This window comes from Homo sapiens, chromosome 9 (genome assembly GCF_000001405.40).
Source record: "Homo sapiens chromosome 9, GRCh38.p14 Primary Assembly".
Classification (NCBI taxonomy): Eukaryota; Metazoa; Chordata; class Mammalia; order Primates; family Hominidae; genus Homo; species Homo sapiens.
In genome coordinates this window covers 31,367,894-31,382,380 of record NC_000009.12, presented here as the reverse complement: position 1 = coordinate 31,382,380, position 14,487 = coordinate 31,367,894, and the positions used below count along the sequence as shown (strand labels likewise).

The window sequence follows — 14,487 nt, the reverse complement described above, 5'->3', positions numbered from 1 at the left end:
GTCAAGGTCCAATCAGGAGATACTCCTCATGGCCCTGGCAGGTCTTAAGCAGTATGACTACTTAGTTTGATACTCGAATGGAGTTCTTCCTTAAACAAGCGAAATCAATGAAACTATCAGAAGTCTGGAAAGATATGAGAAAAAGGAATAATGCCATGACAAGTGTGTCTCTACACTGCGCTTAGTACTCTGCAGCACTTCTGAAATATGAGCAACACAGTTTCCAGCATGAACCTCACAGTTCTCCATATGCCCAGGAATTTTGGCTACTTACTTCTTATCCCAAAGGCACCCCGTGTGAGGCACTAGAAAAAAAAATGGTTAAAATTATTATCTTATTTTAATAGTACTTCATTTGACATTCTCTTTACATAAATTATACCATTAAGTAAGAGGAGAGTCAGATTTATTGTAAAACTAATGGAACTGGTTCTTCTTTAAGCTCTTGGGCCTCTGTGAGTGCTGGAGTTTATTGAATGTTTTGGGTAGAGATCGGAAGCCAGATTGCAATTATTTGGCTAAACAAACCTGACAATACAGGTACCTAGATTACCAAGGCTACTACATATATTTTTTTCATTCTGAAAATATGTTCACTTTCATGCCCCATTGTGTATTTGTTCTGTGTTATTCTTTTTCTCAAATAGAGCTCTCCAACTTTCATAAGATTTTGGTCTCCTCAAACCTAAATCCTTATCCCGGGGGGAAAAATGAGATTAAAGATCTCTGCTAAACCGATCACTAATTTATAACGTAGAACGCTTATATGACTTATCTATTGCCATTTTCATGCTAATAACCCTCAAAACTCAGTGACATAGAACAATGAGCATTTGTTTAGCTCAGGTCTATAGGGGAGTGATTTCATCTAGGCTCACTCACAAGCCTAGAGTCACTGTCAGGAAGCTGAGCTAGGATGCCTTTAGCTTTGATGACTGGGGTGACTTGGCTCATTCCACATGTTTCTCATCCTCTAGTGGGCTATACTGGGAATGTTCTCACAGTAATGGCACAGAGAAAGGGTAAGTAGAGGAAATACACACTAACTTGTTCAAGCATCTCTGTATCCCATCGAGTAATGCCTCATTGACCAAATCAAATCATATAGATGGTGTAACAGAATCAAGGGGGCAAAAATGACTTGTTGTAACTTTGGAAATTGTTAATTAGGATATATTCCGTCCTTACCTTTTAAAGATACATATTGAGATATTTGCTGTTGAAATTACATGAAGTCTTGAATTTGCTTCAAAATACTATAAAGAAAAGAAAATGGATGGGATGAGATGAAGCAAGACTGATAATGAGTTGATAAATTGTATGGCTGGGAGATGAGTACACGGTGTTCATTCTACTGTTCTCTTGACTTTTGCACACATTTCAGGGGAGGCTTTATCAGTCATTTATTTCATTAAGCATATAGGGGATATTTTTAGCGATAATGTACTCTTTTACTTATAATTGTGTTATTATAATATATAATGTCTAGAGAAATTTGGAGAATATATATTAGCTGATAAAATATTATTTAATTGTATTTAAAAAGAATATATGTCTTATCCAATACATATCTTTAAGGTTATGTTTATTTCTGGTCAATTTCAACATGAGTTTGTGTATTAACAGTGATTTATTGAGTACCATCTGTGCACCATGCCCATTTCTAGGCTCTGGCCATAGAGAATGAAACAGATGAATGGGGTTTCTGATCTTGAGGTTTTCATGGTTGTATTAGTCTTCTATCACCGCCTTAACAAAGTTCCATAATATTGATGGCTTAACCAGTACAAAAATAATATCTTGTAATTCTTAAGTCAGAAATTCAATATGGGACTCATTGGGCTTAAATCCAGGTGTTGGCAGGTCTGCATGTCTTTCTGAAAGCTCTAGGGGAGAATCAGCTTCCTTGCATTTTCTGTGCTCTAGAGATCACCCACATTCCTTGACTTGTGATTCCTTTCTTCCATCTTCAAAACCAGCAGTGTCGCACCCATCTGTGATTTTCTTCCACAATCACATGTCTATCTGAATGACTACAGTCAGGAAAGTTTCTCTACTTGTAAGGGTTCCTGTGATTAGATTAGGCATACCTGTCCAATCTAGGATAATCGCTCCATCTCAAGGTCCTTAAATTTAACCACATCTAGAACCACATCCCTTTTTTCATGTTAGGTAACGTATTTCAAGTTTCAGATTTGAGAATGTTGACATCTTTGGAAGGCCATTTTTCTGCCTATCACAATAGGTAAATGCTGGGAAGAAGCAAATTAATTAATTAAATAATTAAGCAAAATAGACATTTTCAGACACTGATATATACTATAAAAGTCTGTAAAAGAGTGATACAATAGTCAATGATTTGCAACTTGTGCGTAAGAGAAGGCCTCACTAAGGAAGAGACATTTAAACTGAGGCTTCTGACAAATAGAGATCACCTTGCAAAGTGATGTAGGCAGGTAATTCCCAGTTAAGGCAAAGCTAATGTAAAAGTCCAAGGTGGGAGAATAGAAAGAAGGCAAATGGGCTAGATCCTAGAGAGCTAAGGGGAAAGTAGCATTTCATGAGGTTGGAGAGTTAGTAAGAGTCCAGATTTTTTGGCTTATTTATTGTCTGATTTACCCTGTTGTAGGTTCTGAACTTTGTACAAATTGCCAAGGAAAGCTAAGTAGAGAAAGGAAATAATCTGATTTATGTTTAAAAGTAATATCTGGCCGCTTGGTGGATAATAAACTGTAGCTTTCTGTTCTCCATAGCACCTATCATGACCTTGGCTGTTAAGTCCTAAATTAGTAATTTAATTAAAATTCCTATGTTATTTAGCAAAATACTCTTTGTAAATTAATATGTTTAAGTTTTGAAAATAATCCAGTATGAGATTTTGGAACTGATACTGAAAAGCTAAGTAAAATTGGATGAACTTAATTATTTCTGTTAAATAAGAACTACATTCTTCCTTCAGTAGAGATAATTCTGATATTTGGTATTTACTCAAAGGTTCAAATAGGAATATGAACAATGTATGTACATATATTTTTAACAAATCCTAGTATATGGGATATGTCATCATATTTTTAAAGCTAAAGAAGAAAATAAATTATACACTATGCTATTGTTTCAAAACTAGAGCTATTGTTTAAATTTATAGGGATACAGTAACAATTTTACAAGGTTTATTTTGTATCTATAGATTAAAATTCATAGAAATGGCAGGAGCTGGATGAAAGCAACAATATCTTATCAGCATGTACACTATTTTGATGAATGGGAGAGAATGATCCATGTTTATGGCATACACTGTGCTAAACAGATAAACTGTGGAGATTTCTGTTGTAATATATTCTGCTCAAAGGATCAGCCTGTAGGCCAGGCACGGTGGCTCACGCCCGTAATCCTAGCACTTTGGGAAGCCGAGTTGGGCGAATCACAAGGTCAGGAGTTCGAGACCAGCCTCACCAACATGGTAAAACCCCGTCTCTACTAAAAATCCAAAAAAGTAGCTGGGCATGGTGGCAGGCACCTGTAATCCCAGCTACTCGAGAGACTGAGGCAGGAGAATCACTTGAACCTGGGAGGTGGAGGTTGCAGTGAGCCAAGATCGTGCCACTCCACTCCAGCCTGGGTGACAGTGCAAGACTCCATCTCAAAACAAAAAACAACAAACAACAAACAAACAAAAAAAACGCACAAAAAAATCAGCCTGTAAGCAGTTACGTAATTAGGGGTAGTTTAGGTGGTAAAAAATTTGCACACATTAGAAGGTAGTAGATAGAGAGAAACCAAAATACCAAAGTTGACTACAGAAGATGCATATTAACCTCCACCCCTGCCCTACTCATCCTATCAGAACTAAGGTACCAAGTTCACTTTTTGGCAATAAAAAGTTCTAAAATATATTCTCTTACATATGGCTTCAATATACATCCATCTGTCTAGGCTCCATGATACACATATATATCCAGCCTAGCACTCTGGTGAGATTTGGAAACTTGATAATATCAAATTAAAATTTAGGATGTACATTTTGAGAAATAAAATTACAGTAGAATTTTTTAAAATTGTATTTTTATTTGCAAGACGGATACTTTTAACAAATTATTGTATAATTACATAAAGGTAAGTTTGCAGAATTCATGATAATTTTGAGGTTATGTGCTTTAATACAATGTGAAACCGATTTTTATTTCTATTGAAGCCATCAAGACATGTCTATATGTGTGTGTATGTGTGTGTATGTAAAAGGTTACAGAATAAGTTTATAACCACACACTCCTAAGGAAATTTTTGATATAATATTTGTCAATAATTAAAAACAAACGTAACCTAAATTTTAAATACAAATCCCCATTTTCTTTGGGCACCAGGACTGTTTCTGATGCAGTTCATGTTTACTGTACTAACAGTTATGGCATTTCCAGTTTCCTTCAATAATCCGCATTCAAAATAATAGCTAATTCATTGGAAATAGACATTCTTTCTGAATACTCCTGTAAAATTAAAATAATTAACCCATCATTATGGAAGAATGTCTTTCCATACAATTTGAACAGAATCTATTATTGCATCAGCTTTCCATAAATAAAGATATAACAGAAACTAAAGCATTTTCTTTCACCCTCTACCCCAATGAATGAATAAGAAGAAGCGACACTCAACAAAGTGCTTTATTTTCTACTTCCTTTTTAATATCCTCTTTGTTTTCTGAAGACCAAGAAAAAGTAATAGAGCAATTAATCATATGATATTCCTCTCCTGACAGCACTGGCCTCTTATGATATTTATCGCTGTGCTACTAAGCCTCTTTCTGCGACATCCTCTAGCTTGTCACAGCTTTCCCAGTAACTCTATATGCTATCAATTATTCAGCACAAGCAGCACTATGCATCCCTTCAAGGATGATTATTTAGGAAGAGAAATCAATAAACAGAAAGTCCATTAAAACCCATGTAGTAATAAAAGATAACAGGACGATTATAATCTGCCCTGTGCCTTGCAAAAAAGGAGTTATCAAAAACCAGTTAGAGTTAACTTGCACTGGTAACATAATATTTATTTATTTATTTATTTATTTATTTTGTTTTTATTTTTTTGAGATGGAATTTCCCTCTTGTTGCCCAGGCTGTAGTGCAACGGCCCAGTCTCAGCTCACCGCAACTTCTGCCTCCCAGGTTCAAGCGATTCTCCTGCCTCAGCCTGTGGAGTAGCTGAGATTACAGGTGCGCACCACAACACCTGGCTAATTTTTGTATTTTTAGTAGAGATGGGGTTTCACCATGTTGGTCAGGCTGGTCTCAAACTCCTGACCTTAATGATCCACCCGCCTCGGCCTCCCAAAGTGCTGGGATTATAGGCATGAGCCATCGCGCCCAGCCTATATTTTTTAATAGTAAAGCTTTATTACCTGAAGGCTCCAACTTGCTAATAGATTCTTTGGAGGGGATACAAGTTTGTTTTCCAGTAAGAGAAATTTTAAACTTTCAAATCTTGTTTGTGTCCTCTTTTATTTCGTTGAGCAGTGGTTTGTAGTCCTCCTTGAAGAGGTCCTTCACATCCCTTGTAAGTTGGATTCCTAGGTATTTTATTTTCTTTGAAGCAATTGTGAATGGGAATTCACTCATGATTTGGCTCTCTGTTTGTCTGTTATTGGTGTATAAGAATGCTTGTGATTTTTGCACATTGGTTTTGTATACTGAGACTTTGCTGAAGTTGCTTATCAGCTTAAGGAGATTTTGGGTTAAGACGATGGGGTTTTCTAAATATGCAGTCATGTCATCTGCAAACAGGGACAATTTGACTTCCTTTTTCCTAATTGAATACCCTATATTTCTTTCTCCTGACTGATTTCCCTGGCCAGAACTTCCAACACTATGTTGAATAGGAGTGGTGAGAGAGGGCATCCCTGTCTTGTGCCAGTTTTCAAAGGGAATGCCTCCAGTTTTTGCCCATTCAGTATGATATTGGCTGTGGGTTTGTCATAAATAGCTCTTGTTATTTTGAGATATGTCCCATCAATACCTAATTTATTGAGAGTTTTAGCATGAAGGGCTGTTGAATTTTGTCAAAGGCCTTTTCTGCGTCTATTGAGATAATCATGTGGTTTTTGTCTTTGGTTCTGTTTATATGCTGGATTACATTTATTGATTTTCATATGTTGAACCAGTCTTGCATCCCAGGGATGAAGCCCACTTGATCATGGTGGATAAGCTTTTTGATGTGCTGCTGGATTCGGTTTGCCAGTATTTTATTGAGGATTTTTGCATCGATGTTCATCAGGGATATTGGTCTAAAATTCTCTTTTTTTGTTGTGTCTCTGCCAGGCTTTGGTATCAGGATGTTGCTGGCCTCATAAAATAAGTTAGGGAGGATTCCCTCTTTTTCTATTGATTGGAATAGTTTCAGAAGGAATGGTACCAGCTCCTCCTTGTACCTCAGGTAGAATTCAGCTGTGAATCCATCTGGTCTTGGACTTTTTTTGGTTGGTAAGATATTAATTGTTGCCTGAATTTCAGAGCCTGTTATTGGTGTATTAAGAGATTCAACTTCTTCCTGGTTTAGTCTTGGGAGGGTGTATGTGTCGAGGAATTTATCCATTTCTTCTAGATTTTCTAGTTTATTTGCGTAGAGGTGTTTATAGTATTCTCTGATGGCAGTTTGTATTTCTGTGGAATCGGTGGTGATATCCCCTTTGTCATTTTTTATTGTGTCTATTTGATTCTTCTCTCTTTTCTTCTTTATGAGTCTTGCTAGCGGTCTATCAATTTTGTTGATCTTTTCAAAAAACCAGCTCCTGGATTCGTTGATTTTTTTGAGTCTCTATCTCCTTCGGTTCTGCTCTGACCTTAGTTATTTCTTGCCTTCTGCTAGCTTTCGAATGTGTTTGCTCTTGCTTCTCTAGAGGACACAAACAAATGGAAGAACATTCCATGCTCATGGATAGGAAGAATCAATATCATGATAATGGCCATACTGCCCAAGGTAATTTATAGATTCAATGCCATCCCAATCAAGCTACCAATGACTTTCTTCACAGAATTGGAAAAAACTACTTTAAAGTTCATATGGAACCAAAAAAGAGCCCACATCGCCAAGTCAATCCTAAGCCAAAAGAACAAAGCTGGAGGCATCACGCTACCTGACTTCAAACTATACTACAAGGCTACAGTAACCAAAACAGCATGGTACTGGTACCAAAACAGAGATACAGACCAATGGAATAGAACAGAGCCCTCAGAAATAATACCACACATCTACAACCATCTGATCTTTGACAAACCTGACAAAAACAAGAAATGGGGAAACGATTCCCTATTTAATAAATGGTGCTGGGAAAACTGGTTAGCCATATGTAGAAAGCTGAAACTGGATCCCTTCCTCACATTTATACAAAAATTAATTCAAGGTGGATTAAAGACTTAAATGTTGCCGGGCGCGGTGGCTCACGCCTGTAATCCCAGCACTTTGGGAGGCCGAGGCGGGTGGATCACGAGGTCAGGAGATCGAGACCACGGGGAAACCCCGTCTCTACTAAAAATACAAAAAATTAGCCGGGCGCAGTGGCGGGCTCCTGTAGTCCCAGCTACTCGGGAGGCTGAGGCAGGAGAATGGTGTGAACCCGGAAGGCAGAGCTTGCAGTGAGCGGAGATCGCGCCACAGCACTCCAGCTTGGGAGACAAAACGAGACTCCGTCTCAAAAAAAAAAAAAAAAAAAAAAAAAGACTTAAATGTTAGACCTAAAACCATAAAAACCCTAGAAGAAAACCTAGGCAATACCATTCAGGACATAGGCATGGGCAAGGACTTCATGACTAAAACACCGAAAGCGATGGCAACAAAAGCCAAAATTGACAAATCGGATCTAATTAAACTAAAGAGCTTCTGCACAGCAAAAGAGACTACCCTCAGAGTGAATAGGCAGCCTACAGAATGGGAGAAAATTTTTGCAATCTACTCATCTGAGAAAGGGCTAATATCCAGAATCTACAAAGAACTCAAACAAATTTACAAGAAAACAAACAAACAACCCCATCACCAAGTGGGCAAAGGATATGAACAGACACTTCTCATAAGAAGACATTTATGCAGCCAACAGACACATGAAAAAATGCTCATCATCACTGGCCATCAGAGAAATGCAAATCAAAACCACAATGAGATACCATCTCACACCAGTTAGAATGGCGATCATTAATAAGTCAGGAAACAACAGGTGCTGGAGAGGATGTGGAGAAATAGGAACACTTTTACACTGTTGGTGGGACTGTAAACTAGTTCAACCATTGTGGAAGTCAGTGTGGTGATTCCTCAGGGATCTAGAACTAGAAATACCACTTGACCCAGCCATCCCATTACTGGGTATATACCCAAAGGACTATAAATCATGCTGCTATAAAGACACATGCACACGTATGTTTATTGTGGAACCATTCACAATAGCAAAGGCTTGGAACCAACCCAAATGTCCAACAATGATAGACTGGATTAAGAAAATGTGGCACATATACACCATGGAATACTATGCAGCCATAAAAATGATGAGTTCATGTCCTTTGTTGGGCCATGGGTGAAGCTGGAAACCATTATTCTCAGTAAACTATCGCAAGGACAAAAAACGAAACACCGCATGTTCTTACTCATAGGTGGGAATTGAACAATGAAAACACTTGGACACAGGAAGGGGAACATCACACACTGGGGCCTGTCATGGGGTGGGGGTGGAGGATGGGGGGAGGGATATCATTAGGAGATATACCTAATGTAAGTGACAAGTTAATGGGTGTGCAGCACACCAACATGGCACATGTACACATATGTAACAAACCTGCACGTTGTGCACATGTACCCTAGAACTTAAAGTATAATAAAAAAAATTAAAAAGAAAAACCTTCAGATTTTGACAGACCACGAGAGCAACAAAACCACAGCTTATTAGTCATTTTTCTGGGCATGAGTGTCAATGACTGAAATACTCTGATAGGTGTTTTTGAGGTGGCCCGTTCACTTATAATTAGGGAGATTCCAGAAAGAATTAATGTCTAGAAAAAATTAATATTTGCTAGACAATGTCATAGTCATTCAAGTACATCTCAATCTCAAGTTACTTCTCAATATATTGGAAAGGCACAATGAGACAGTAGGTCCCCTAAGCAGGCAGTTTTCTTCCAGAGGTCACTGGGTAATACTTCAAGTCCTTTTAAGTGCTTGCATCCAGAATATTATTTCAATAAGCAGCCTCTAAACTGTTATTATTGCTTCTTTCTACCACTGAATGAAAGATGTCCATTCTGACGAGTGCATTGATTGTGAGGTTTATAGCATGACACTTTGCCAACAATTCACCTTGCTCTGAATATTCCCAGACAATGGAGCGGCAGAGGAGTACTGAGTCATTTCTGACTAGGCAGAGGGCATATTTCATAACAGAGACTTAGCTCCCTTGAGATTCCCATGACTACTCATGTTCTTCATCCTTCATATTACATAAACCTGAAAAATATCAAGATGGCTGGCTTCATTCAGCAGTATCTGCCATAACGGAGAAAGACTAGACTTTCGACTTATGAAGGAAAGTTTTAGTGTCCATTACAAAATAATAAATATTCATGTTTATATTCTAGAATAGCAGGGATCAGATGGGTTTTGAAATCACTTACAAGAATGTGAAATTATAAATGCCAGGATACAATATGTGTGAGTACACAAATGGCTTTAGAATTTACTGTCTGGACCAAATAATCAATGATATCCCTAACACGATTATTTTTAATGTTTGTTTTAGCAGTAACTGTGATACTGTTTACATTTCCCTGGAATGCCTAAATGGAGTTAAACACAGGTGTAGTTGCAATATGATAAGGAAAAGGATCATGAGCAGTTTATGTTCTCAGAGTTTCACATATAAGGATACCATGTCTTTCTGATAATAAAGCTTTGCTTATTTCTATGTTGATATATTTGGTAAAAATACAGAAATATGATGAAATTTTCTGGTCATATTGCATTAAAAGGCATAATTTCAATTCAGTGTTTGTAATTCTATTACCGTTTCTTTAATTTCATTTTATTTTTCTCCATATTAAGTAATAAACCGTGTTTAAATATAGTAATAGCAAAGAAAAAGATAAAGTCACGTGCACACTCCCAGGTCAGTCTCTACAATGACGCTATCTTGTTTTCTCTTTTTCTAGAAATCTCCGGCATAAAAGACATTGGAACTAAGAAATGTGTTGATTAAAAAAATATAGGAAGTGACAGCAGGAACACAGTACTACCTTAATTACCAAAGCCATTTCTAACTTTGGGTGTCAGCTAATACTTATTCTGCCTAGGTGGTGTTCTGATTTATATGAGTGTCTGAAAGATATAATGTCTTTCCCAGAGGACTTTATTAGAATCTAATGATTCAACTTGAATGCAGAAAACATAAAAATGTGTGTGTTCAGGAAAGGCAGAAGCTGGAGGTAAGTTGTGGGGAGACACACTTAGTGAGACAGATGAGTCCAGGCCTGAGGCACCTCAACCCATCCACATTCTTCTTCCACTATTAGTTTTATATTTTCTTCATAAAAGCAAGATTTTTTTTTCTCAGAAAGATATATGTGCTTTTCATGTCTGCATTCTGATAAGGAAAATAGTCAAGAGAAATCATGAAAGTATTAAAGAATGGCCACTAATTGAATTACTTTAGACAATAAAAATGCAGCTGTTCTTTGCACCCAAATGAGTGTTACCATTCAATTTTTCAAATAAAGTTAAAAAAGGAGTAATTTTTGCTCACAAAGGGAGTGATGGTTTAGTAACTTTAATATTGGGAAATTCAAATTAGCTTTATGCAGCATAGTCCTTGAAACAAAACCTGGAAAGAATTCTATTAGACTTCTACTATCCTAGTAGAAAGCAGAAAGAGCAATATTGCATGAGAACACAGGGGAAAAACTACACAACATTGATCTGGGAAATGATTTGTTTTAGATTTGACACCAAGAGCACAGGCAACAAAAGCAAAAATAGACAAATTGGATTATATCTAAATGAAAAGCTTCTGCATAACAAAGGAAACAACACAGTGAATATACAACCTACAGTATGGGAGACAATGTTTGCAAGCTGTAGATCTGTTAGAGATTAATATCCAAATTATATAAGGAATTCAAACAGTTCTACAGAAAAGAAACAAATAATCCAATTTAAAACTGGTCAAAGGTTCTGAATATACATTTCTCAAAAGAAGACATACAAATGGACAGCAGATGTAGGAAAAATGCTCAACATCACTAATAATTAGTGAAATGCAAATTAAAATCACAATGATATAACACATCATATCTTTCAGAAATACTATTGTAAAAAAATGAAACATAACAAGGGTTGGTGAAGATGTGGAGAAAAGGCAACCCTTGTACATTGTTGGTGGATAGTTAAGTTTGTATAGTCATTTATGAAAAACTGTATGGTGGTCCCTCAAAAAAACAAAAATAGAATTACTATATGAATCGGCAATCTCACTTCTGGGTATTTACCCAAAAGATTTACAATCAATGTGTTGAAGAGATGCCTACACTCCAGCATTCCTTGCAGTAATAATCACAATAGCAAAATTGTGGAACCAACCTAAGTGTCCATCAGCAGATGAACGGACAAACAGAAAATGGTATATATTCACAATGCAATACCACACCACCTTACAAAAGAAATATGTTCTGTCATTTTTAACAAAATGAATGGAATTGAAGAAAATTATGCTATGTGATATATACTGGACAAAGAAACAGAAATATCATGTGTTCCAACTCATATGTGGAATCTGAAACATCCAAACTCATAGAAGCAGAGAGCAGAATGGGGCGGGGGATGAGAGAATGGGGAGATGATGGTCAAAGAGCACATAGCCTCAGTTACACAGGAGGAATAAGATTTTTTTTTAGATTTATCGCACAGTGTGGTGAATATAGTTAATAATGTACATTTTTAAATTACTAAGAATAAATTTCAAACATTCGCACCACAAAAGGATAAATATTTGAGGTGATGGATATGTGAGCTTGTTTTAATTATTACATGTTGTATTTATAAATCATAACATCACTTTGTACTACATAAATATATGCAACTATAATTTGTTAATTTATAATAAAAATATTTAAATCTGAAATGTGGGTGAATAGTTTTTATATGAAATGTGGCACTGCAGAACTTCCTGTAATTTATTAAATAACACGGTTCTAGTTTCATATTTTTCTGAAGAGAGAGAAAAATGTGCTTGCTATTATGGTGAGTGTTAGGCGGCATAGATTTAAAGGGAAACCGCATTAAGGGACTTCCGAAAGATTTCTTTGCTCTTACCTCTAACTACGGTGTCTCCCTTAGTGCTGTCATCTACTATTTTGACTTATAAAACCACTTCCATGAAAAGGGCTCTGACTCATCCACTGAGATCCAAATTTATATACGCAGTAAGTAGGATTGCTTAAAATTCCATCTTAGAGTCACAATGACAAACACGAGCTTATGATTTCTCCCCTTCTACTGACCACTAATGTATTCTCCTTCTAGTCTTCCCTAATGCAACAAATAAAACCATCTAGTAGCTCTATTCAAAACCCCCAAAATCTAGGACTTCAATAATCACACAGCTATTGAATTACCTCACTTCTTTCGAGCCTCACAGCTACTGTCCTGGCCCAGACTTCTTTATTTCTTTCCTTAATACTACAACACTCACTTTAGAAGTTGCACTGTTATATCTCTAGCTCCCTGAACTGTCTGTTTTCCATACAGAAACAAGAATGATCTGTAAAACGTAAACAAATCCAGATTACTCTTCTTGGTGAAAGTCCTCTGCCTCTTAACCACAGCACCTGAAATAAAATCAATTTTCCTTACTTTGGCCTCCAAGTAGCAAAAGACTTGACTACCTGATTTTAAATTTATTCCACAGCACTCTTCCTCTGACCTATCAGGCTCAAACCCATGGTATCTTTCTATTCTTCAAACACCAAGCTCATCTTTATCCTAGAGCCTCTGTGTTTGTCCATCTAGCTTGCCTTTCCTTCAGCTATTTCTTGTCTTTCATCTTTCAGGTAAATGGCACTTTGGCAGTAAGGCCTCACCTCACTGCCCACTATAAATGCCCCCCTGCTGTTCCAACCTATCCCAACACACCCTATTACATAATCCAGATTTCCATTCTTCGTTAATCTCATTTATCACTGTTTGGTTTTATGCTGTGCTTTGTTTTTGTTTGTTTGTTTTTTGAGAGAGAGTCTCTCTCTGTTGCCAAAGGCTGGAGTGCAATGGCCTGATCATGGCTCACTGCAGCCTCAAACTCCTGGGCTCAAGGGATCCTCCTGCCTCACTCTCCCAGGTAGTTGGGACTACAGGTGCTCATCACCACACCTTGCTATTTTTGTTTTTGTTATTTTGTAGAAAGACTTCTCAGTATTTTGCTCAGGCTAGTCTTGAACTCTTGTTCTCAAGCGATGCTTCCACTTTATCCTTCCAAAGTGCTGAGATTATAGAGGTGAGTCACTGCACCCGACTTTTATGTCGTACTTTGAACAGGGATGTGTCTCTCTGTTCACCACTGCGTCCTTGGAGACTAGAAACATCATGACACAATTATAGGATAATTGTAGAAGACAAACACATATTTGTTTTTTTTAAATTTATTTATTTTTATTATACTTTAAGTTTTAGGGTACATGTGCACAACGTGCAGGTTAGTTACATATGTATACATGTGCCAAGTTGGTGTGCTGCACGCAGTAACTGGTCATTTAACATTAGGTATATCTCCAAATGCTATCCCTCCCCCTTAAAAATCAACACATTTCCTTGTAAATGCATTTAAGTTCAATTAGTTGACTTATTTATATTGTATATCAAATTCTGTTGATCTTCCATTTTGAACTTTGTAGCTGCTTTATTTCCATCATAATTAGAATTTTCTTGAAAATATTTGCTTTATCTTAGTATAAATTATCAATATTTCCCTACAAAATTTGCAGCACTCTTTGTTCCAAAACACCGTTTTTAGTGAATTTCCTCATATCATGTCAACTTTATTTTCTGTATTTCTTCTCAGTGTTTACCAATAAGATAGGCCAATCTGTGTTTTGTTACTATTCTATTTTATTAACATATGTATTTTGTTTCTGATAAGTTGAACATTTGTCCACAGGTTTGAGGCTATTCACATATCTTCATCTGTCAAATGCTGCTTGTCTCTCTGATCATTTTTCTAGAAATTTTGTTCACCATTTTATTTAAAATACTGGAAATTAATAATTATGAAAATGAAATATCCCTATTACAAAAATTCAATTGTACTAAATGTAAATGATCTTTATACCATTATATATTAGAAAACTTTGCATGATACACATGTAACAATTAATATCTTTCTTACTCTTTGCCACTGCAAATCACTCATTTGCTCTGCCACAATTCTTACATAGAAGTTGGCCCAGCGTAACCCCAAGGGTTTCAGTAAAA

The 14,487-nt window shown here is 36.6% G+C and overlaps 1 long non-coding RNA gene across 1 annotated transcript, besides 1 other annotated feature; it reads left to right on the top strand.

Annotated features, from left to right (window-relative positions):
* Positions 1-890: 890 nt before the first annotated feature.
* On the top strand, positions 891-10,770 carry LINC01243 (long intergenic non-protein coding RNA 1243). Its single transcript, NR_135134.1, has 2 exons — positions 891-1,022; positions 10,182-10,770. It is a non-coding gene; the product is annotated as a long intergenic non-protein coding RNA 1243 (long non-coding RNA).
* Positions 12,261-12,430: an enhancer, noted in NCBI's record as "experimental_108019 CRE fragment used in MPRA reporter constructs". NCBI's record gives its function as "activates a minimal promoter by MPRAs in K562 erythroleukemia cells, with activity observed for both the introgressed and non-introgressed 9:31370034 variant alleles {active_cell/tissue: K562}" and the evidence as "EXISTENCE:reporter gene assay evidence [ECO:0000049][PMID:34662402]".